General features: G+C 34.8%; 2 long non-coding RNA genes across 2 annotated transcripts in view; both read right to left on the bottom strand.

The window, feature by feature from the left end:
• The window catches only part of LOC105378810 (uncharacterized), a 136,420-nt gene that overhangs the window by 56,721 nt on the left and 57,131 nt on the right, over positions 1 to 22,568 (bottom strand). The gene's annotated exons all lie outside the window — the stretch shown is intronic.
• Positions 913 to 22,517, bottom strand: LINC02792 (long intergenic non-protein coding RNA 2792). The gene is made up of 3 exons (XR_947527.2): positions 22,498 to 22,517; positions 2,981 to 3,093; positions 913 to 2,566 (listed from the first exon to the last, which is right to left on the bottom strand). It is a non-coding gene; the product is annotated as a long intergenic non-protein coding RNA 2792 (long non-coding RNA).

The following is a 22,568-nucleotide window of genomic DNA, read 5'->3' as shown; positions in this document are numbered from 1 at the left end:
GCCTCGGCCTCCCAAAGTGCCGGGATTACAGGCATGAGCCACCGCGCCCGGCCTCTACTTCGTAATTTTTATACCTTCAGCATGTTTTCACTTTTGCCAGAGCAGCTTCCGCTTTCTGCTGTCTCCATTTGTCATTTTTTTCTGGAGATCACTATCCAAAGCCTTGTGCTTCCCACTCCCATCAGAACTGCACCGCAGGTACAGTCATTCACCATGTAACATTTGAGTCAATGACAAACTACATACACAATGGTGGTCCTATAGATTATGATGGAGCTGAAAAGTTCGATTAACTAGTGACATCCTAGTCACTGTAATGTTGCAGCGCAACGCCTTACACGCACATTTGTGGTGATGCTGGTGTAAACAAACCCATTGCATTGACAGCTGTTAAAGGTATAGCATATACAATTATGTACAGTACGTAATACTTAATAATGATAATAAATTATTATGTGACTGATTTATATACTTACTATGCAATACATTTTTGTCATTGTATCTGAGTGTACTTCTTCTACTTCACAAGAAAAACAACTGTAAAACAGCCTCAGGCAGGTCCTTCAGGAAGTATTCCAGAAGAAGGCCTTCTTATCATAGGAAATGACAGCTCGATGTGCTTTATTGCTCCTGAACACCATCCAGTGGGACAAGATGTGGAGATGGAAGACAGTGATATCAATGATCTTGACCCTGTGTAGGCCTAGGCTAATGATTACGTTTGTGTTTCAGTTTTTAACAAAAAAGTTTAAAGCAGAAAAAAAGCTTATAAAATAAGGATATAAAGAAAGAAAATATTTTGTATAGCTGTACAATGTGTGTGCTTTAAGCTGTGATATTATGAAAGAGTCAAAAAAGTTAATAAAGTTTATAAAGTAAAAAATGTTACAGTAAGCTAAGTTTAATTTATTACTGAAGAAAGAAAAAATATAAATTTAGTACATCCTAAGTGTACAGTGTTTATAAAGTCTACAACAGCATACAGTAATGTCCACCTTTCCTTCTTTCCTCCCTTCCTCTCTTTCTTCCTCTTTCTCTGTCTTTCTCTTTTTCCTGTGGTTGGCCAGATTTATTTTTTATCTTGTGCATCCTTCTTTTTTGTTGTACTTCTTCATTTTGATGGCACACATACTCCAGATACTTCCTAAGAGATATTAAAGAGGTCAAGTGTTTCAGTCCTTGAATCCTATAAAAGGCCTGCTTGGTTTGATATTAAATCTGAATTGAAAATCATTTGATGTCAGAATTTAAGAGCCTTATTGCTATCTGGCATAAAGTATGGTTGACAAAATGTCTGATGCCTCTCTGATTTTTATTACTTTGTAGATAATTTTTTGTCTTTCTCCCTTTGGAACCTTATTAAACTTATTTTTTCTTTATCATTCATGTATTTTGGGAGGAAATATAGTTTAATTCCTAACTGCTAGGTTTTTGGAGGCAGAATACTAAGGCTTGTATCTCATTACTGCCACTTATTTACTGGGTAATAAGTGCCCCTTTAACAATTTAACAATTGTGTGCTTTAGGCTTATTTATAAAAAAGGATAATAGTGTGTCTATATCAGCATTGTTGTGAAAATTAAATAAGATAACACACATAAAGGGCATAAAACATGATCTGGCATATTGTAAGTATATACAAATTTTTGCTATTATTATCTTCTAGTTTTGTTGGTTTATTTTAATTTCAGATTCCATATTTTGATGTCTTAAGAGCTTTTCATGTTTTTTGATTGATCCTTTGATTGTGTACTTTTCATGTTTTATGAACCTGATAACTTCTTAAACATCTCAGAAGATAAGTAAAAAAAATTCTAAAAGCTGCCTGGTGCTGTGAATTACGTTTCCTTTGGGGCATTTTTTTTCTTTGTTTATATGGTGTCTCTCTTCCACACAGCTTGCTGTCCTCGTATGTTAGTAATCTGTGGTTTCCACAGGACACATAGCTGGTATGATTTCTCTGCTTTTACTTCTGGTCGGTTTCTTCCCTGAGCGTGGAATTCTGCCTGGACACTCTGAGTGGAAGGGTGCGGTGGGGTCTGTGGGTGTGTTAGTTGGCTTCATTTTAAGGAGAACAGGTAGAGCAGGGTCAACCTGGACCTCACCACCATGCCAATGTGAGAAAACATTCATTGCTAGTCATTATGGGTCAGCCTGTAAGCATAACCCTTCCCCAGATGGTCTAGTTGGGTAAATGTCATCTTCACTGTGTAGGCAGGAGTGAGAGACCAGTCCAGTGGACCATAGCTCTACCGCACAGGTTTGTCCTCTTTCATATCTGCTGCCTCTGAGTCACAGGAATTTTCCAGAGCTCTTTCAGATGGAATAACCCCAACTTTTCCTACAGCAATCAATATTGTACTTTAGGCTAAGGCTTTTCCCCATCCAATTATGGTCTTCTAGAAATGTATTAAAATATTTTTGTAACAGTGACACCTCTCATATTCTATTTATTGTTTTGACTATTTTGTTTTCTAATTCTAGACTTTAATTCCAGTGATTCTCCAGAGAGACAGGAGGTAGATATATTTGCTTAGTTCACACCAAGTATTATTTTCTTTGACAGCTATAAAAGAACAAATATAGTTGAGAAAACAAATTGTTAGTATAAATATATATTTGCCATAGGATTTCTGCTAACAATAGTAGGAAGCAGAGTTAAAATATTTTTTCTTCACCATGAATGACTATCCTGTCACTGATACTTACTTATATAAAATTTCTACAATGTATATTCTAGAAATCAAATTTGGTAGAAATTCCTAGATATTTTCAATAAAAATATAGAAAATATGTAGTAAAAGCTAAAATTTTTTATTAGAAAGGGATACTTAGTGTTTGCTACTAATCAATGGCTACTAGTTATTTTTAAACTAGGATGTTAAAGGATATTAAACCTTTAATGTGTACTCTTAAAGCACACTGTAGCCTCCTTATTATCATACTAATTGAATGTTAGTAAAATTACATCTTGAAATACCTGTCTGCCCTGGATGGAAAGATCTGTGATTTTGGTGCCAACGCCTCTTTTGCTCCTTGCCCGGATTCATTAATAGCATAGTAATTTTAAAGAGTGTGCCACTTAATATCTGTCTTTTGAATAAATGAATGAATACATGAGTGAATGAGTTATTCTAAAATTAAATTATTATAAGTTAAAATAAACTTATAACATAGGGATCTAATATGTATTTTAATTTTTAACTTAAGTTTATTTATGCTTATTTTTTATGAAAATTTAATCCAATAATTCTAATAACAATAGTAACAGTAATTGTTTGGCATTAAACTTTATAAATTCCTCTAATACAGAATTACTTGATAATTTCTATTGAATACAATCAAATACATAATGTACGTCAAGCATATCTTTTTGGTTTTTTGTTTTGTTTTGTTTTTTGAGACAGACTCTCACTCTGTCACCCAGGCTGGAGTATAGTGGGGCAATCTCAGCTCACTGCAACTTCTGCCTCCTGCATTCAAGCAATTCTCCTGCCTCAGCCTCCCAAGTAGCTGGGATTATAGACACTTGCCACCACACCTGGCTAATTTTTGTATTTTTGGCAGAGATGGTTTTCGCCATGTTGGCCAGTCTTGTCTCGAACTCCTGACTTCAAGCGTCCACCCACCTCCCAAAGTTGTGAAGCATATCTTTGAACACAATGCAAAATGACAAGGTATTACTTCTGATCTTACATGTATTTATCATAAACTCTATATTTGGAAAGCACAATGTATTACCTAATAATATATCACAATTTTTATTCTAGATGTAACTTCTCCTAAAAAAAGATTAATGTGAAAATGAATACTAACTAGAATACTAGACTGATTAGAAATCAAAGGGACCCCTTTTGATTTGAGCACTTTGCCCTTATATATTCCACAGGTGAAGAGGCAGAGATCTCATTATGTGAAGCTGTGGACCGAAGGTCACAGGACTTATTACTGATGCAATATCTCAATGGTAGAGCCAAAACAAATTCCTTTCTTTTAACTTGCTTTTTCCCTCTACCAGAAACCCTAAGACCTTAAATTCTTTAAAGTATTCCACATTTTAGAAATTTCTAGGAAAAGGTACAGAAGAGTGCAAGGATGAGAAGTACGATGAGAATATGATGGATGTCCCACACCCCAAGGGAAAAAACACCTAAGATATCCTAATCAGCGATGCAACAAAGGCAGTTGCTCCTCCAACCTTACAGGGTTGCAAACAGTTTTCCATGGCTGCCATGATTACAGCCGAGCTGTGGTACTGCACTCCGTTGCTTGCAGCACTTTCCGCTAGAGTGTAATAGAATACTGGAACACTATTGTATTTTTAAAGGCAATTAATATTTTATTATGCACAGACTTTTATTTGCACCATTTGGATTCCTCTTCTCTAATTAAATCTTGTGATTTACACAAACAGAACTGCTGTTCTTTAAACTCTGCAAATTATCAAAATTAACAAATACTTGTTAAAAGGAAGCAAAAGCAGCCAAGGGCCCTATTTTTGTGACAGAAACAACTGGAGGCAACAGAGTGAATTGATAGTGTCTCTTATTTGAGTGGGGCAATGTGGCAATTACATATAAAATACCTTAGTTAGGGAGAACTGATAGAAATTCCAGCTGCCTATGAGAGAAAGGTTAATTCTTTAAATAAATAAAGCCAGAGTATTTTATGTGACCATGTAGGATTTTTGCTTCATGACCTGTGTGCAGCATTTTGTGTTATGGGATTTATAAATCAAGAATATGGTTTCAAGCATGCATTCTCCCAACCCTGTATTTGTGGAATGTTTCCTAGGGCCAAACGAATGGACTTCAGAGGGAACAGAGGAAATATGCTTAGATACCCACTAGGGGAATATGCCTTGCTCCCATTCTTATCCCTAAATAAGAAAATTCTAGATAAATTCCAGCTAAATGAGTATTATTAGCTCCTCACCACTGGCAATATTTGAAGTAAAGGAGGGTACCCTTTAGGGACCCTGTCTTCATCTCTGGAAAGACAACAGACAGGGACCTGGTTGAGGGTGAGGAAGAAAAAGATAGGATCAGGACAAGAAATAATCTCCATCCTAATTAGTCTGGAGATTTACAGAAGTTTTCCTGGGAACAGTCTGCAGTCTCCTCGAAGAGCATTACCCCCAGGGTCTCCATTTGGGAAAGAAGAGGAAGGGGAATTCAAAAGTAGATCGGGGTGGACCCAAGGAATTTAGTTTTCTTTATGGCTCTTTTTCCACCCCTGGCAAAATGGATATTCAGTCCAGTAAATACAATGAGAGGTAATAGGTTCAATAATGCAGAAATTCGCTTTCCAGACATTTCAGGAAAGCATTTAGCCCATATGTAAAGGGTACGATGCAGCTTTGCTATTTCTATTCTCATTTTGCATGAGATTCTTCTCTTCATTCAATTTGTAAGTTATATGCTTTTTTGCCTTGTGTGCTGGCAGATTAATTGAGGAAAAACTCCTACATGAAATTTTTATAAGGATAGCGGAATACCTAACTGAGTGAGTACACATTCTCCATTTAAGCAAATTCTAAATAGCTTTATTATAACCTATATTGGTAGAAATGACTTGAGTCTTCCATTCTTACAAGAGCCTTGACATACTTTCAAAAGAACACATACAAATACACATTATGCACACTTTGTAAATTTAGTCTCCAGTTTTAAAATATACCAAATAAAAGCAATTCTCAAGTTAGAAATAAGTACAAGCAAATAACAAACAAACACTATTTTTGTTTCACTATTTTATTACTCCCTAATGTTTCCACTATTGTTATGGAATCACTCTGAAAATCTTTATTCTTTTAGAGAATCTCAATGCTGCCAACCTGAAGACTTACCCTGTGAGGCTTCATGGAAAGGGAATATATCAAATCAAAAAGAAAGTTTCACCTATTTCAAACTAGTCTCCAAAATTAACAACGTGTCCAGGAAGTATTAATAACAGAAAACATTTATCCTTTCACCATATTTCTCCTATTCCTATTCTTCATCTTTCTCCTTCTTTCCCCCAAATGGGGCAGCCTTTCCCCCAAATGAGGCAGCAAATCAAGAACTAGGGCATATGGTACCAATATGGCCTTTTAGTAGATTTTTAATGCACTTGGTGTTTAAGGACTACCTCAAAAAATTAGCTTCCATTGAAACTTTGTTCCTGTGAGTGTATACATCCTAAAACACAGCTGAAAACAGCCAATTTAAATATCATTTGGTTTGTGTGTGTGTGTGTGTGGGTGGGGGGGGGGTTGTTGTTGCTGTTATTGTTTTCTTTTTTAGAGACAGAGTCTCTCTCTGTTGCCCAGGCTGGAGTGCAGTGGCGCGATCTCTGCTCACTGCAACCTCCACTTCCCGAGTTCAAGCAATTCTCATGTCTCAGCTTCTCGAGTATCTGGGACTACAGGTGTGCACCACCATGCCCTGCTAATTTTTTGTATTTTAGTAGAGATGGGGTTTCACCATGTTGGCCAGGCTGGTCTCGAGCTCCTGAGCGAAGGCAGTCCACCTGCCTCAGCCTCCCAAAGTGCTAGGATTATAGGCGTGAGTCACCACGCCGGCCTTGGATATCATTTACTCACTAGGACACTAGGAGTAGATATCATTTACTCACTACAAATATAATAACATTAAATATTTAGTGGATGCTCACTATGGGTCAAGTTCAGTACTAAATTATTTACTGCATTATCCCATTTCATCCTTACAGCAACCCAATTTAGAAAGGGATTATTAGAATCCTCTTATAGATGAGGAGAGTGAGGCTTAGAGAATTTTGCCCATATTCAAAGTCACGCACAGACTAAACGGAAAAACCAAGAGGATAAGAATGTGAAAATAGGTCTATCTGATTTCAAAGCTGGTGCTGTTTAACACTGTGCTACGCTAAAATAGAAGAAGTTGAGACCGTTTATACATATATAAAGATAAAAGATATGTTTAATAAATTTTTAAGAGTATTTCTATTATTGAGAAGATAATTGTGGAAATTAATTCTTTCATTGTCTTAGCAAATCACATAATTTATCTTGCCATAAAAAAGAAGACCAAACTGACAAATGTATAGGAAAAGTTGAGTCCTCCGTATTATTTATTCTAGCAGATTGTTTCATAAACATCAATCTTTTAAAAAGTAGGGTTGTAACGCTGTAATAAAACTAAAAATTCCCATTTTTCTCCATTAATATTAGTAGATGTTTATTAGAGAACTACGCTTTCTGGGCACTACAGTATAATGAGAGGCCCCTTGAGAAGTTATGAGTCTCTCCTTATGCTTGGTCCATCATAGGTGCTTGATAAATGTGATTACATAAATGATGGCAGGATCTTTGACTATGGCAAACATAGAGGGCTCAGCAATACAATAATCCAAGTTTAATAAATGGGTTCTGATATTTACCTGAATACTGTAATGCACTAATATAAAGGGGTAAGCATGATAAAAATTAATAAGTACACATAGCAAAGCAATTTCAACCATATAATTAAAAACATATTAAAAAGAAAATATGATCTTCCCTTTCTCTTTTAATACAGACACAGTTTACAGGAGAAACTGTATTTTATCTGGCCCAGTGTTATTTCTTTTGGTGGTTGCCTTCATAATTCCACAGAATATGCCTATTTCTTGACTAATGGAGAAAATCCTTCACATTTACTGAATGCCGACATCTTGTGCTAAGGGACGGTGCTAAGGAAGCTGCCTATATTGTCTCATTTAGTGTTCCTTGGGAGTAAATACTGATTATGATGGTCAATCATGATAATTCCATTCTCCTTGCCATTGATTGATTTATATGACATAATTATGGCAAAAAGCTATTAAAAGAAGTTTGCTTAGGGTCTTTAGGGAAAAGTTTCTTTGTTCTTGGAAAGAGACACAGAGTAAAGAACAGTCTATCGGTGGTCACTTTTGTGACATTAATGTAGTACACGGTTATGCTGCAACAATGCTCTGCCTGTAGCAGGGTGAGAAGAGTCCTCCTAGGACGGCAGGGTGGAGAGCAATAAAAACAGTGTGAGTCCTTGAAGATGTGAAGCGTTGAAATAATCAACCCATTCCACCACAGTTAACAAAGCCATGTCTGGATATGTTCTAAAAAACTAAATTTCCTTTTTACTTATTATCACCAAAACACAGGCCTCCTATTATTCAGAAGGTAATATAATATGGTCCAAAAGATCCAAACTCTGGGTGCTAACAACCTATACTTAAATATTTTCATGTTTAACCTGCTACTCAAATACTTGTTTTCTGTTATTTAATCTGTGATAAAGATACCTTGGGCCATTACTAATAACATCTGAAAATCTATGACACAGGAAGCAACTTTTAGTTAGAGAGAATTAGGAAGTTAGAAGGTAATAGCCTACTGTTACAAATGAGAGAGTAAGTATATGTTAGAAAGCCATAGACTGGAATCCAGTAGTCTTCATGTTTGAGATCCAATTTTCACTCAATGAAATTTTGTGCAACAATAAATGAACTTTTCTTTCTAAACTTTCTAGCCTATGTTTCCATATATATCAAGCAGGGTTTCTAATACATGTTCTGCAGGATCAAATGGGCTAAGTACATAAAATTGATTTATTAAATTTCATTGATTCATTGAAAAATATTTATAACATGCCCATTATATATGTCAGGAACTGTCCCAGGCTCTGGGCAAACAACAGTGAACAAAGCACAATATGCATAAATGAGTTCATTTATTAACACATGATCAGTTCTAATTTGCTTTATAAGTTTTAAAAGCAAAATGGGCCTTTTAATTATGAGACTATTATATTGCATCATAAACTTCTGGTATACAGAACTGAAATATCACAAGGGAACATATATTCTGGATTATTTAAAGTATATTGCCAAGGAGATCAGGAATTACAATTTACATTTTTTAACTATGATAGCCTCTACTTCTTTAATTGAATTATGTTATAGTTAGGCAAGTCTTTTGATGAATCACCTGTTTTCTCATTTCTCTTAGCTGCCAACAACATGCATTTTAGAAAAGACTGACATGTTTATACCAATGTGTATAATATAAAGAATTTGGAGGAGATCTGCACTCCCATTACTATGGTGGCTCTTGACAACCATACACTGTTTACTGGTCCCTGTTGCATAGCTTCCTCATATTGCATAACATCTTTTTAAACTTAATCCCACCCAATCCCACCTGAGATCTGCTATGAAACTTGATAATTGCCCATTGTGCTCTTGTTCTTCGCTAAACTGACAGAAAGATTATCCAGTAGAACCACATGGAGAAGCATCTAGTCAGCCTTTAATAATTTCCCAATTGTATTAGTCACGTTAATTCTGCTCTTCTCTAATAACTGCAGTTCTCATCCCCAATAATTCTTTCCTATTGTCATGTACAATTGTGTAAGTTAAGCCTTGATCAGCAATTGCTTGCCAATGAGGGCGGTGGGGCTGAAAGGCAGCCTGTGCTGTGCTCAGCCAATCCTCAACCCAGAGCCTGAATTCAGTTCTTCACCGAATCCCATGGAATGGGAATTCAGTTCCCCACCAAATCCTACTGAGAATTCAGTTCCCCACTGAATCCCAATGGGAATTCAGTTCCCCACCGAATCCCAATGGGAATTCAGTTCCCCACCAAATCCCACTGGATCCAATGGAATGACTTTTACTGTCTTCTCTCTATCTTTAAATGAAAGAAAGAAGAACCAATGAAGGAAGAAAAGGTGGGAAAGGGGGCATATGTATGTGTATAGTTATTTTTATAAATTTGATCAGAAAAATGTTGAGCTACTTATTATTTTAAAATCTACATTTTTTTCCTGCTAATATTGTTTCTTAGAATATTTCCCCTTCTGTAATGTGCCAACATGAAGGCCAGCTTACTCAACCTTAACTACAGCTGGCGATATAAGGATCAGGTAAGGATTGAGATATGCTTGCTGGTGCTGCAAATTTAGCTTTGCAACTAATTACAGAGCTCTGTAAATTCAATAAGTGCCCTTTTTCCAGCAGTGATTCAACTTGTCAGGATTCAGAGACAGCCCACTGTATAGTCTCATGTCAATCACAGCATTTTTTCTACCTCTCCCTTGGCTGGACTGGCCTCAAAGAGCAGGAAGTGTGCTGTCCAGGACACAGTAAGGACTGAAGGACCACTCCTTTATATATCATATTGATTTGCAGACAACTTTCCCCTCTGCCTTCACTTGATGGCTTGGGGGTGGTGGAGATAATAATGAAATAAATATAAATAGGTATCTTTTCAGTCTTTGCACAACCTAGAATTTTTTAGCTGACTTAAGAAATAAAGAATCAAAGTGCAAGTCACTGTCTTTTCATGGAGCCCATTGTACCAGTGAATTTAAAAAGTAAAGAACTCTTTGTTGATCTGTTGGGAATTTGTTTCATAGTTAGCATCCTCTGGGACTTGAGGTAGAATTCTGGGGACATGTGCCAGCATATAGTCGTGACCAGCCAATGGCAATGGTCCTTAGCTGCAATCTAAGTGAAGACTCGCCTTTAAGGCTGTATGCTGGATCTCCAAAACGTCACAGGATCACAGAATAACAATGAAATTGGTATTAGTAAGACAAATGATAATAATAACAACACCTAAAGTACTCTAAACTGATAAGTACTTTACATTAATAGTCTCATGGAATACTCACCACATGCCTGTGACCTAGATATACTTTTGCCATTTCAGAGATGAATAAACTGAAACTGAGGGAAGTTAAACAAGTAGCTCAAAATTTACAACTAGAAAGGAGAGAAGTTAGGATTTGAGTACAGATTAGAAATAAATGCTATATGGCCTCATGTATGTTTTCACTGTTCTATTAACAAACAAAAAATATAAAGACAGATAAAGAAAGACCTCTGAGATTCTATAGTAACTGCCCTAGAGGTGGTACACTAAGGGTCTTACACATTTTTACCTAGGGGAGATTCTCAGTCTGCCAACAAAGAAAGAGCAATAACAACCACTCTGTTCATTTTACAGAAACAAATCTCTTTCTGGATAAAAGCTTTCTAAGAGCACTGGCTCTGACCAGAGCCAATGTCACTACTTGATGTGGATAATTTTAAGGTTTGCTTTAAAAGCCTTTTAATTAAGCTGCAATATTATTATATCCAGTATGCTTTGACTATTTGCACTGAACTCCGTTGATAAGGCAGAATGTTTCCTCTGGGTTATTTTTTCCCCTCATTAATTTCTCAATGAAAGTGAGAGCACATAGGAAAACAGAACAGAAAGAAGTAAAGAGATAATTCTACCCACTTAAATTCCTAGGACCGTATTGCACTCAAAATGGAGATGGATTGGATTGTCCTGAGGAGCCTCTGTTTCCTTGCATTTTCCAAGGCCGTGCTGCTTGTAATGTGGTACCTTTGTATACGTTCTAGAGCATGGATCTGGAGTAGTTATTTCCGCCTGCTCCTATGTGGGATTGCTGATATCTGGCCACATTTTCTATACTGATAGAAAACGCTTTTTAAAAATTTTAAGACTCTTTGGTGATTAAAGATTGAATGTAAACAAGACAATCTAAACAGTAAGTTGTGCTTATTTGTAGAAAAAGAATATTATAAATATATTACTTTAGTGTGCATCTTTTAACTATCACACTAGGAATCATTCTCATCTTAAGGCTAATGAGACAGACAGAGAGAGAGAGAGAGAATGTTCTTTAACATTACAATATCAAAGACAAAGAAATCTCCAATGGGAATGTTTTTTCTAGTACTGGCATTTTGGCCATTCTAAGTCTGTGACATGTATTTTGAATAAAGAAATTCAGGATTCTAGTGTGATTTCCATCGTTTGTTAGTGATGTGAACTTAAGCAAATCATTGATACTATTTCCTCTCCTGTAAATGTGTTCAAATAATACTTCTCAGATCATCTTTTGGAGCCATTGAAGGTATCAAATGAGAAAAATAAGTGAAATCTTCATGAACTGTGATTATACACAAGAAATATGTATTGATGTTTGTCATCAAAAATATGTGTGAAAATTGTGATAGAGTAAGCTGTATACTCTGAGATGAGCTATGAGCAAAACAATCACCTGGGATAAGACAATTCTAAAAGCAGAAGTGTAAGTGCATTAATACTAAGTAAAACTGAGAAATTATAAATATTAAAAACACAGTGCATGTAACTCCATTGCTCGTGCATGCTGCTCCTCCAGCATTCTATTTGAATCAAAAAGTTCCAATAGAGTTGAAAGTACTGATCAATTAGATGGATGAGTTGTTAATATTTTTATAAAATCGGGTGAGTATTCTAAAGAGTTTTGGGCTTGGCTAGAGGCAAGAAAATGTGAGGAAACAGACTTTAAGAGACTAACAACCAGTATCTGCTGTTTCCCAAAGTTTCAATAGCTTGCTAGTATGCCTTACAGACTGTTTGCATAGTAACATCTTATATGCCCTTCTACTAATTGCTAAATTACCATTGATTTAATCAAATTCAATAGTACTATATAAAATAGATTTAGAATTTAGTATTAATCCTATTATTTGTTCTGTTCTACAATTCAGTTCAAATATTTAGCAGTCATAATTAGAAGGTTTAATATAGTAATTTAATGGAAGAAATTACCGAGCACTTTTGTTTGATTTTAGACATTTTAAAAGAGTAAGTAGTCTTTACAAAAAGGAACATATAGTTCATTCTATTTTCATTAGTTAAAGCCACCCGATTCTCTACTCAATACTTTATTGTCTAATTTTTACTTTAAAAGAATCCAATTATCTGTATATATGAGTTATCCAAAATATTTGTTAGTAAAATAAGAGAAAAAATATTTTATTTCTTTAATCCATGTCTCCAAAATGCACAAGGAGGTAGGTCAAATCAAATGTAATTGTCTGGGCCACATTCTCTAATGGAAAGACTTTTACACCTTAGACCTAATGTGCATGCATAGGCCTCTCGAAATAGCATGGTGTGAGCTAATGATGTGCATTGCTAAATATTTTTACATCAGGGTGACATTTATAAATTATATTTTAATATTACAATTATTTTAGATGATTGCCCCAAAAGCCCTTTTATTTTTAGAAAATACGAAGCATGCCTGGCCCACAGACACTCAAAACCTAAGATGTTTCAAATTAGACTCATTATCTTTCCACCCCCGCCCTAAAGTTGCTGCTCCTCTGTGTTCCCTTGCTCCAGTAATGGGGCCAGTCTCCTCCCAGTCACACAGGCTAGAAAACTTCAATCATCTTTGACTTCGACCTCTCCTAACCCTTTAAATCCAGTCAACCAAGTCTTCTCAAGTTTATCTTTGAAATGTCTTTGGAATTTGTCTTATGCTTCATCCTCCACACTTCTTCCGTGATTCCGGTCCTCATCATCAAATGCTCTCAGTTATTCCATGAGCCCATTCCCTAAGCTCCCGGGAGCTCATGCATTCTGTCTCCAAATACGCTCTTTACATTGCTAGGCTTATTCTTTTAAAACACAAACATGAATATATAACCACTCTGAAGCTGGAAAACATTTCTGGCAATACCATTTCACAGACAATGAAATCTAAACTCCTTAGCAGGGCATCAATCCTTTCACTTTTTGCCCTATTGGTTATTTTCCCCAAGTACCTTATGTTCTAGCCCTGCTACATCATTGGCTACCTACAAACATTCTACATTTTTTCTCAGGCAATTTTCTTTGAGTGGGTAACCATTGCTACCTTGTATGCATTGGGATAACCTAGTCATTTATCATAGCACAGTTAATCTCTTGTTAATCAACATTGGGAAGAATTAATCAACCTTGCTACCCAGGTGCCTAGCAGTTTGCTTATTACTATCTTATAATACCTACCATAATCTAGGAAGAAAACTGGTCAGATATGTGTTCGTCCACACTGGTAAAAACAGAGCTCTTTGAATGCAGGAACTTTGTCTTTTTCATGGTTATATGCCTCATACATATAAGTTAGTAAGTCACAGTTACATGTTTATTATTCAACATTTTAATTGTTTTACAAATTACTGTTGGTGCTGTTCATATTATATGATGAAAAATAGCATTGTTCTTAACAGCATTCTTATATTATATATGGGAGATGTCAATACCTAGCTAGAATTAGGAGAAAATACACCAACCTCCTGACATGACATTCAATATTTTTCATCATACTTTTGCATTAGGATAATTCATATACTTTGAAAAAAAAGAAAGGGCATATATATTGGAAAAATATTATGTTTCCTCCAAAAACTAATGAGAAAAGATAGAGACAGATGGAGTTCAATTGACTAATTTTCTGCCCAGCTGCCTAGATGAAAAATAAAGATGTACTGACCCTATGCTTCTGTATGCTAAACTGTTCAAATATTTAGCCTTCTTTAACCATTATGCTAAGGTTGAGTGGACAGTACCTACATTAGCAGACACTATTCACCTGACTGTCCCTTTTGTTCTCCATTTTTAATGTGAAAGAAGAGAGTCCTAAAAATAGAACCAACCCTTGCAACTGGCTTGCATTCCTGAATATACAATTAGATCACAATAAAGTGACAAAATCACATCACATTTATTTGAGATAGTTCAAAAATAATATATGTATTTTTAAAATTGCTTGAACTTTTTTTCTCTTCTAGACCCTTCTAATCTTTTAAAATTCTTAGCTGCAAAAAAAGTGCCAATTTACCCTTTTAAAAACTAGGCAAGCTCAAGATTCTTTTCATGTTAAATGGAAATAGGAAATCATTTCCATTTCCATGAGGGATTCTAGCCTCAAATGGCTTAACTTTAATTTTCTATATGTTTTAATTGAGTGTGTGTGTGTGTGTGTGTGTGTGTACATACATTATGTGGAACTTCTTCCTGACCACATTTGAAGTGGCTGTAATTTTTTTTGTTTGCTTGAGAAATATCTTCTTTCTCTCTTAACTTTCTCCCAAAACAATCTTTTAAAAGCCTGACCCTAGCCTCACCTTTCCAATCTCTCTGCCTCAATGGCTCATTGCGCTGATGTGTTCGAATTTCACTTCTGCTACAAACTTGCCTGCTCGGTGACTCTACATTCACCTGTCTGCCTCCCCATTTATCTGTAGCAGGATTAGAAAACCATAAAATTTATAGAATATTTGTTTGCATTATGATTTCTAAATTTTAAGTCAAATGGCATATACGAAATTTAAAGTTTTTACCAAAAAAAAACCTCCAGATTATTTGAAAAATATGAAGATTTAAAAACACGTATTCCACCATATAATAGCCAGAACTGATAGGAATAAATCATTCAGGGTCGAGTCAGAAGAGAGAAACCACACCAGTAATTTGTACAGGGAAAATTTAACGTAAAAATTATTAGCTAGTAACAAGAGATTAACTGCCACAGGGTAAAGAGATCCTTGAAGGATTCATAGATCCTATCCATAGGAAGCAGCTAAGGGCTAAGGCAGAGTACCTAGGGAAGAAACACATTTGGAAGAGAGCACAATCACCCTCAAACCCAGGGCTAGATTCCTCAGTGGAGAGGGTCTGGCTATGACATACCGGATAGGGAAGAAGGGCAGACTGCAAGACTGGACACAGAAAACTGCCTGCTGGACGGCCAGCAAGACTCACTGGGAAGTCACCCACTGGGATACCATAAAAAACTTTGTGGAGGATGAGTGCCACCATGTGTCCTGCCTACTGCTGGCTGCCACACATTGCAGAAGCAAGAAGGAAAGAAACAGACACTGGAACCTGCAAGAGATGACTCTTCTTCCTGCAGTGTCCCACCATTGCTTCCCATGATAAAGTTTACCCAGGTGCCAGTTGGCAAAGGAAAAATGTTAAGAGGGACCAGCCTCAGAATCCAAAGCAGGGCAAAGCATCATATGGATTTAAAGCTGAGAGGCAATAGATTGATAACTGGCACAGAAAATACACTCTAATCAATTATAATTCTCTCACTGACTACTGTAGGCTCTTGAGTTTATGGCTAATGACCCAAGTCATCAGTAACCCACATGGCTTCCTGATAGAAAGAAAGATTTTTAGAGATTTGGAATTCTTAGAGACTCAATCGCCAACACATATAATTACCAATACTGCTGATATGTAGAAGTGAATCTAATAAGATAAGACAAAAATAGTATGGAAAACATGAATCCTCATGTACCTAAAATGTATTACTTTACAGTTGCATGTTGATATACCCAATGTGAGAAGAAATTATACAAAAATGAAATGTGTCTTTAAGATATGGCCATAGTTCTATTCAGCTACAAGGACATAACTACCCTTTTTTGATGTAACATTTGAATCGTTTTCTAAAAATTTTTAAGACCTGTATTTTATGTTTGTTTTAAAAGTGGTTTTTGATACCTTAATCTTTATTTCATTTTGTTTTGTCTTTATTTCAATTTGCTACTGTATCATCTATTGAAAAATCTTATTAAACACTTCCTGGCACTAGGCTCAAATGAAAGTAAGACGTAAGTGATTATGATATTGCTTTCTCTTTTCTTGGACTCATTGGATGAAAGGAGACAATTAAAGTCAGTAATTTTTAAAAAAAACTGATTTTTTGGAGTTGTTTTCGACTTTCAAGAAGATGAAATGTAAAGTTTTTGAAAAAGTACAGAGGAGAAGTCTTGGACCTTTTGCCTCTGGCTTTCAAATGCTGTTTGTAGGCTTTGTACCTAGGCAAGCAATGAGCCTGTTTTTTCTATTCACTCGGAAGAGTGAATGGGATTGATTTTCAATATATATTAACTTTTGCCTATTCCTCTAGAGGTTCTTGCAGGTACTGATAATGACTTGGCAAGACATCTGTCATTTATGTAAGAGCAAGTCCAAAAAAATACCACAGTGTCATACTTCTATAAAGTAAACTAGAATTCCCCAGGACTTCAGCTAAGATGGCTAACTTGTAGTTACAGTCAATATGGACTGTGGCCTGCCTTTGACAATTTCAACAGCTTAAAGAAGAGTTTTAGCCAGCTAGAGTTATCAGGCAGGTTAATTTCTGCCTGCATTTAATGAAATTATTTATTTCTTTCCCTTATGCTCCCTAAGTTGTGTTGATAAAGATGAATATGAGATCCACACCTTCTGAGAATTATATTTAATATAGTTTTTAGTTTTTCTTTTACACACACACATATGTCAATAAAAGGAATGCCTCTTCCTATCACTAAACCACCTGTGAAAGGTAAAACACTGGAACATTGGAACTTTTAAATATCTAGGTGAATCTATTTTTTTCTCATTTCTCAAATTTAAATGTGCTCTTAAAATATGTAATTTGTTTCTCTTCATGAAAGAAAGCAGATATAATGAGGGCAATATCCTTTTTAGAAGAAAAATAATTCTATGAAATATATGTTGCAATATTCTTTACATGCTGCTGAAACTTTGTATTTTTAAGAACAGAAACAGGAGCATAAAAATATAACTAAACTTCAAAAGCCCTTGTGACAGAATGACTGGTGTTGTATAACCTTTTTTGATCTCTCATAAATAAAGAATCATTTCTGCAAACCTTAGAGGTGAGAGCTGCAATGTTTAAATTCTAAGAACATTCATTTTAATGAAGTCTCTGAGAAAACCAAGGTATTGTTGGGGTTGATGGAAAATTCGGCTTTATTTTTCACTCAGATACTGGAGTTGTGGAATCTTGCCAACAGGTAAAGAGTAACTCTCAGGTATTTATTTAGTTAAAACATTCTAACCAGTATTTACCTCATTACTAAGTATGTTCAAAAGTCTCTGGGGCTGCATAAGACATTTTAAAAACTATTTTCAGGTAAACAGTTCCAATGCAAATTTAGTTTCTGAAGAAAGCTGCACTGTAATATCCCTGAACCTCTTTAAGGGGTTTCTTTGAGGCCCTGCAAAGCTCCCTTTGCATGAAAGGATTACTTACACTGACCTATGAAGAGAAATGTTTGCTTTGCGTCTCTTAAAAAAAAGTGCTATGGATTGTAAATTTGGATGCTGTTATAAATTGGGGTCATGTACTCACACAAATAATGAAATGAATATTATCATTTTGCACTTACTTGAAATTATGTAAATTATTGAAATGAGAGAGAGAGAGATCAAGCAATGATATAGAAATATGGTCTCAGGTACTCAGGCTTACTATTACTGATTTATTATTTATTTTTCTTATTCCTTTCAACTATTTTGCATCTGATTTTCCCTACATAAAAATCAACTAACATAGAGAGATGAACCAAAAAGTTTATGATTTAGATATGAGATATCAATTTGCTTTTATAATCCAGCCATATAACAAAGTTAAGCAGATATTTTTAAAATATGATAAAAAGGAAACAAAATTCTGATTTTAACATTTCCAGATGTACAGTTAATAATCAACTGAAAGTATTACTTAATGAGTCTTATTTACAATGTTAAAGTTGGATATAATATTATAAAATGAAAGTCATACATTATTTAGCATGAAAATAGAGTTGTGTATACAATTTAAAAAATATAATTGAAATATATATTTCTTTTAGTGTCTGTTACAAAGCATGGTTAGTCAAAATCATGAATTAACCAGATAAACTACATTTTCTCTCAAGGCCTCATGTATTTATGATTCTTAGGTTTTTTAACCTTAAAGGAGACTGCTGATTACAGGTCAAACTAAAAGAAAATGGATAGAAAGTGGATTTAAAAGACCGGTATGAGCTTGGCTATGAAAAGCAAATATGTAACAATTTTGCTTTTTGAAAAGTACTTAGATTGATATCTAGATGCCTTATCTTTTTGAATGTCAGTTAAGGAGAGAGCTGTGTGTATTTTGGTGTGTTAGTGAATATATATTCCCTGGTAGATTTGTGGAATCCTATATTTCCTACATATTTTACTTAACATGGTGGAATAGTTCCCACCTTGATAAAATTGAATTATTACTTAGAGTGATCTAACAGAACCTCATTTCCAGAATGCTTTCTTTTCATATCCTGTAATATGGTGTTTAAACTGTGACAAACGCTCACACATTGAAGAAAAAACAGACAAATCAAAAAACTTGTTTCCCATTATTAATCTTCTTCATTGGTACTTTTTAGATTTTTTAAAGCAAGTGCTTTCAGATAGGAATGATTTTTCTAAACCTTTTGATTAGTTGTTTCTGCACTAAAGTAAAATTGTCAGTAAACACTCCAGGCATTTTCCAGTATATATTTTTACTGCTTTGCGTACTGAGCAAAGTATTGAGAGCTATGTAGTAAATTTGTAAGTGTATGCTGAATTTTCTGTTGGCCTCTCAACATCTTTTTTGTTCCTTCCCATGTCCCTCATGTATCTCAGAGGCAGGAAACCAAGAGTTTACATTTCTCAGGCTCCCTTGCCATCAGGGTTCCATTTGAGATTCACCAGTGAATGGCACTTGAATGATATTTGGAAGGCAGACAGAATGAAAAGCCATTTTGTCCTGAAAATAACACACAGGCAGAGAGCCTGTGGCAGATGACTTCCTGCAGTTTCACAAGAGATTTTCTGATTTCTTTTCATGAATAATCCCCTTCAATTCTACAGGTTGCTGCAATAATTGGTAGAGGCTCTTTGTGATTATTGTATTATCTGATTTTCAGAACTTTAATCATGTTTTTCCATGGTCTTCACTTTTCCAACTATTCCAGCAGGTTTATTAGTATCTATTCCCCTGTATTTAATTCTTCCAGCATGTAACACCTAGAAAGGCTTCTGTTTTCCTAAAATATCCTGACTGAATCAATTATCTTCATACAGTAATAATCCTGTAGTTATAAGATACTTTTAGAATGATACGATTGAGGAACTATTTTGCCCACATCATATCTCTACCCACCTTTCATTTTGTAAAAATTATTTCCAAATTTAGAAGAGCATTCCTCATGTAATTTCTTTCTCAAATAATGTCAAATACCACTACCCACTCACTTCACTTACTGTCTCTCACTAATAAAATAAAATTCAAATTTCTTAGTTCTAGTGTTAGCTTTTCTTCTCATGATTCTTTTTCAATATTATTTTTTTACTTCTCTCTTTTACATACCCAATTCACTAGCCAATTAGAACAATTAAATATTTGTAATTCATGGCAATATTTATATTTTTAAATTTCAGTGACATTGTTTCTACCATTTATTCAGCTGAAATATACTCCCTTTTATCTTCACTTACAAAATTCATCCTGATATCTTGATCACATATTTGAAAGAATGCCTGTCTTATGATTCTATCCATTTTATCATTTGGAAAATGATAAAAGTACATTTTCCAAAGTAAATATGCTCTCGCTATATCTACATACAAGTGTATGTATACATATATACATATACATATATACATACACATGTATGTATACACATATATACATACACATTTTAAAAAAAAATTTATTTTCCTAGAAGTGGCTAATAATTTTGTTTGTTTGTTTTTGTTTGTTTTTGTTTTTGAGATAGAGTCTCTGTCACCCAGGCTGGACTGCAGTGACGTCATCTTGGCTCACTGCAACCACCTCTGCTCCCCAGATTCAAATGATTCTGCTGCCTCAGCCTCCCAAGTAGCAGGGGTTACAGGCATGCGCCACCATGTCTGTCTAATTTTTGAATTTTTATTAGAGACAAGGGTTTCACCATGTTGGCCAGGCTGGTCTCAAACTTCTGACCTTGAGTGATCTGCCTGCCTCAGCCTCCCAAAGTGCCGGGATTATAGGCATGAGCCACCATACCCAGCCAATAATTGTTTTTTGATTCAGCATCTCATGTGTGTCCATAAATTCTTATTCAGATTTCAGTACAGCATATATTATGTCATTCAGTAATAATTTATTTCTTTATTTATCCCAACTCCCTATACCTATCAGAATGCCTGGTACATAGTTAGTACTTAATATAGTTTCATTGAAAGAATGAAAAAATAAAACAACAGAACAGATATTAACAAAACAAATTTTTAACAAAACACTTTTAAATTTTGGATACAATATAAAAAAATAACTTTTCAAATATATAACTAATTGTAATACGTTAAGAAAAATTCCACCCAAATTAAAGAAATTGAAATCGGAGTAGTAAGCTTACTTTGGAAGATGTGGAAGATGATTACACATATACAGTTTGAAAAAAAGAGCCATATCCAAATGAAAGACTGAAACTATGAGATCTAAAACACTCAGCCAAAAGATATGAACTCAAAAGTATTACCAGAATTTAATAGTAGTAAAAGCAAGTATTGTCTGGATGAGGCAATCCCATAGTTAGAGCTCATCATCCAAAATTACAGAAACAATGTACAAAAAAAAAGAGTAAGCAGAAAAAAAGAGTAAAGTTATACCCACAAAGATAATGCAGTATTGAATGACAGTTAAATGATATACAATAAGCTTTATTTGCTTACCAAAAAGGTAGGAACACCAAAAAGAATAATATATATAAGTTAATCAGATATAATTTGTAAAAATAGTCATATATAATCAGTGAAATTAAAATCTCCATGACATATTGTATTGCAGGTTTAATTCAGATACCTTGGGAAAGAACTAGTGAGGTTAATAACAAATCAAACTACCCAGGCTGACACAGAGAAACAATGAGATAAAAAATACAAAATAAGGTACATGAAGCACAGACTGAGGAGGTCCAACATAAGTCTAACTTCTGTTTCAGGATAAAAGGGGGAAAAAAATGGAAGAAAAGCTACAGTCAAAATAAAAATGAGAATATTCCAGACATGACAAAAAACATGACTCCTCAGATTTAAGAAGCCTGACAAATTCAAAGCCAGATAGCTAAAAAAGAAATTGTTCTTCATGATTCTGAAGAACACCAAAGAGATGATCTTTAAAGAAAAAAGAAATAAAATGAGACATCTAAAAACAAAAGTTAATTAGAATGGAGGAATAATTTCTCAATACTAACAATGGAAACCAGAATGTAGCAGAATGACCTTTTTTGTAAAGGCTGAGAAAAAAAAAAACTTAACTTAGAACTTAATATTCAGTTAAATAATTGAAACCACCTTTGCAAAAATTATCAGTAAGAAAAATTCTCACAGTAAGCTAAGCTAACTTACAGCCCATCGTGCCTTTCCCTTAATTATTTCTGGGCGTTGGGGCCAGAAATAATTGAGACCATATAGTTATAATTGTTAATTATATTAATAATTAATTATATGAATACTTAATACTTATTCAAAGGAATAATTATACTAAAAGTTATACATTATTATAATATATTAATATAGTAAAATGTAATATTGGTTAATATAATTAATATATTCTGTACTGATAATTATTATTATGTTAATAATTAATGATTATTCCAAGCTCATTTTGGAAGACATGGAGGCTATCATTTAAATGATAATAGGCCCTACCCAAAACTCATCTGCTTTTGTAAAATTAATGGCAGGCCATCATGCTGAGGAGAAGGAGAAGAGCCTGAGTCCTACTAAGGCAAGGTCCCCAATTAATCCTGCAAATACCACTATTGTAGATTGGCCTTTTGAGATATCTTTCTAGGGTTCTTGCATGTCTGACACCCATGGCTCACCTGCATCATCAACCCTGCTCCTGTGGCCCCACCCAGAAGCGATTCAGCCTGCAAAAGGGCAGCTTTGACTG

The sequence above is a fragment of the Homo sapiens genome, chromosome 1 (genome assembly GCF_000001405.40).
Source record: "Homo sapiens chromosome 1, GRCh38.p14 Primary Assembly".
NCBI classification, from domain to species: Eukaryota; Metazoa; Chordata; class Mammalia; order Primates; family Hominidae; genus Homo; species Homo sapiens.
This window is presented reverse-complemented; position numbering and strand designations above follow the sequence as displayed.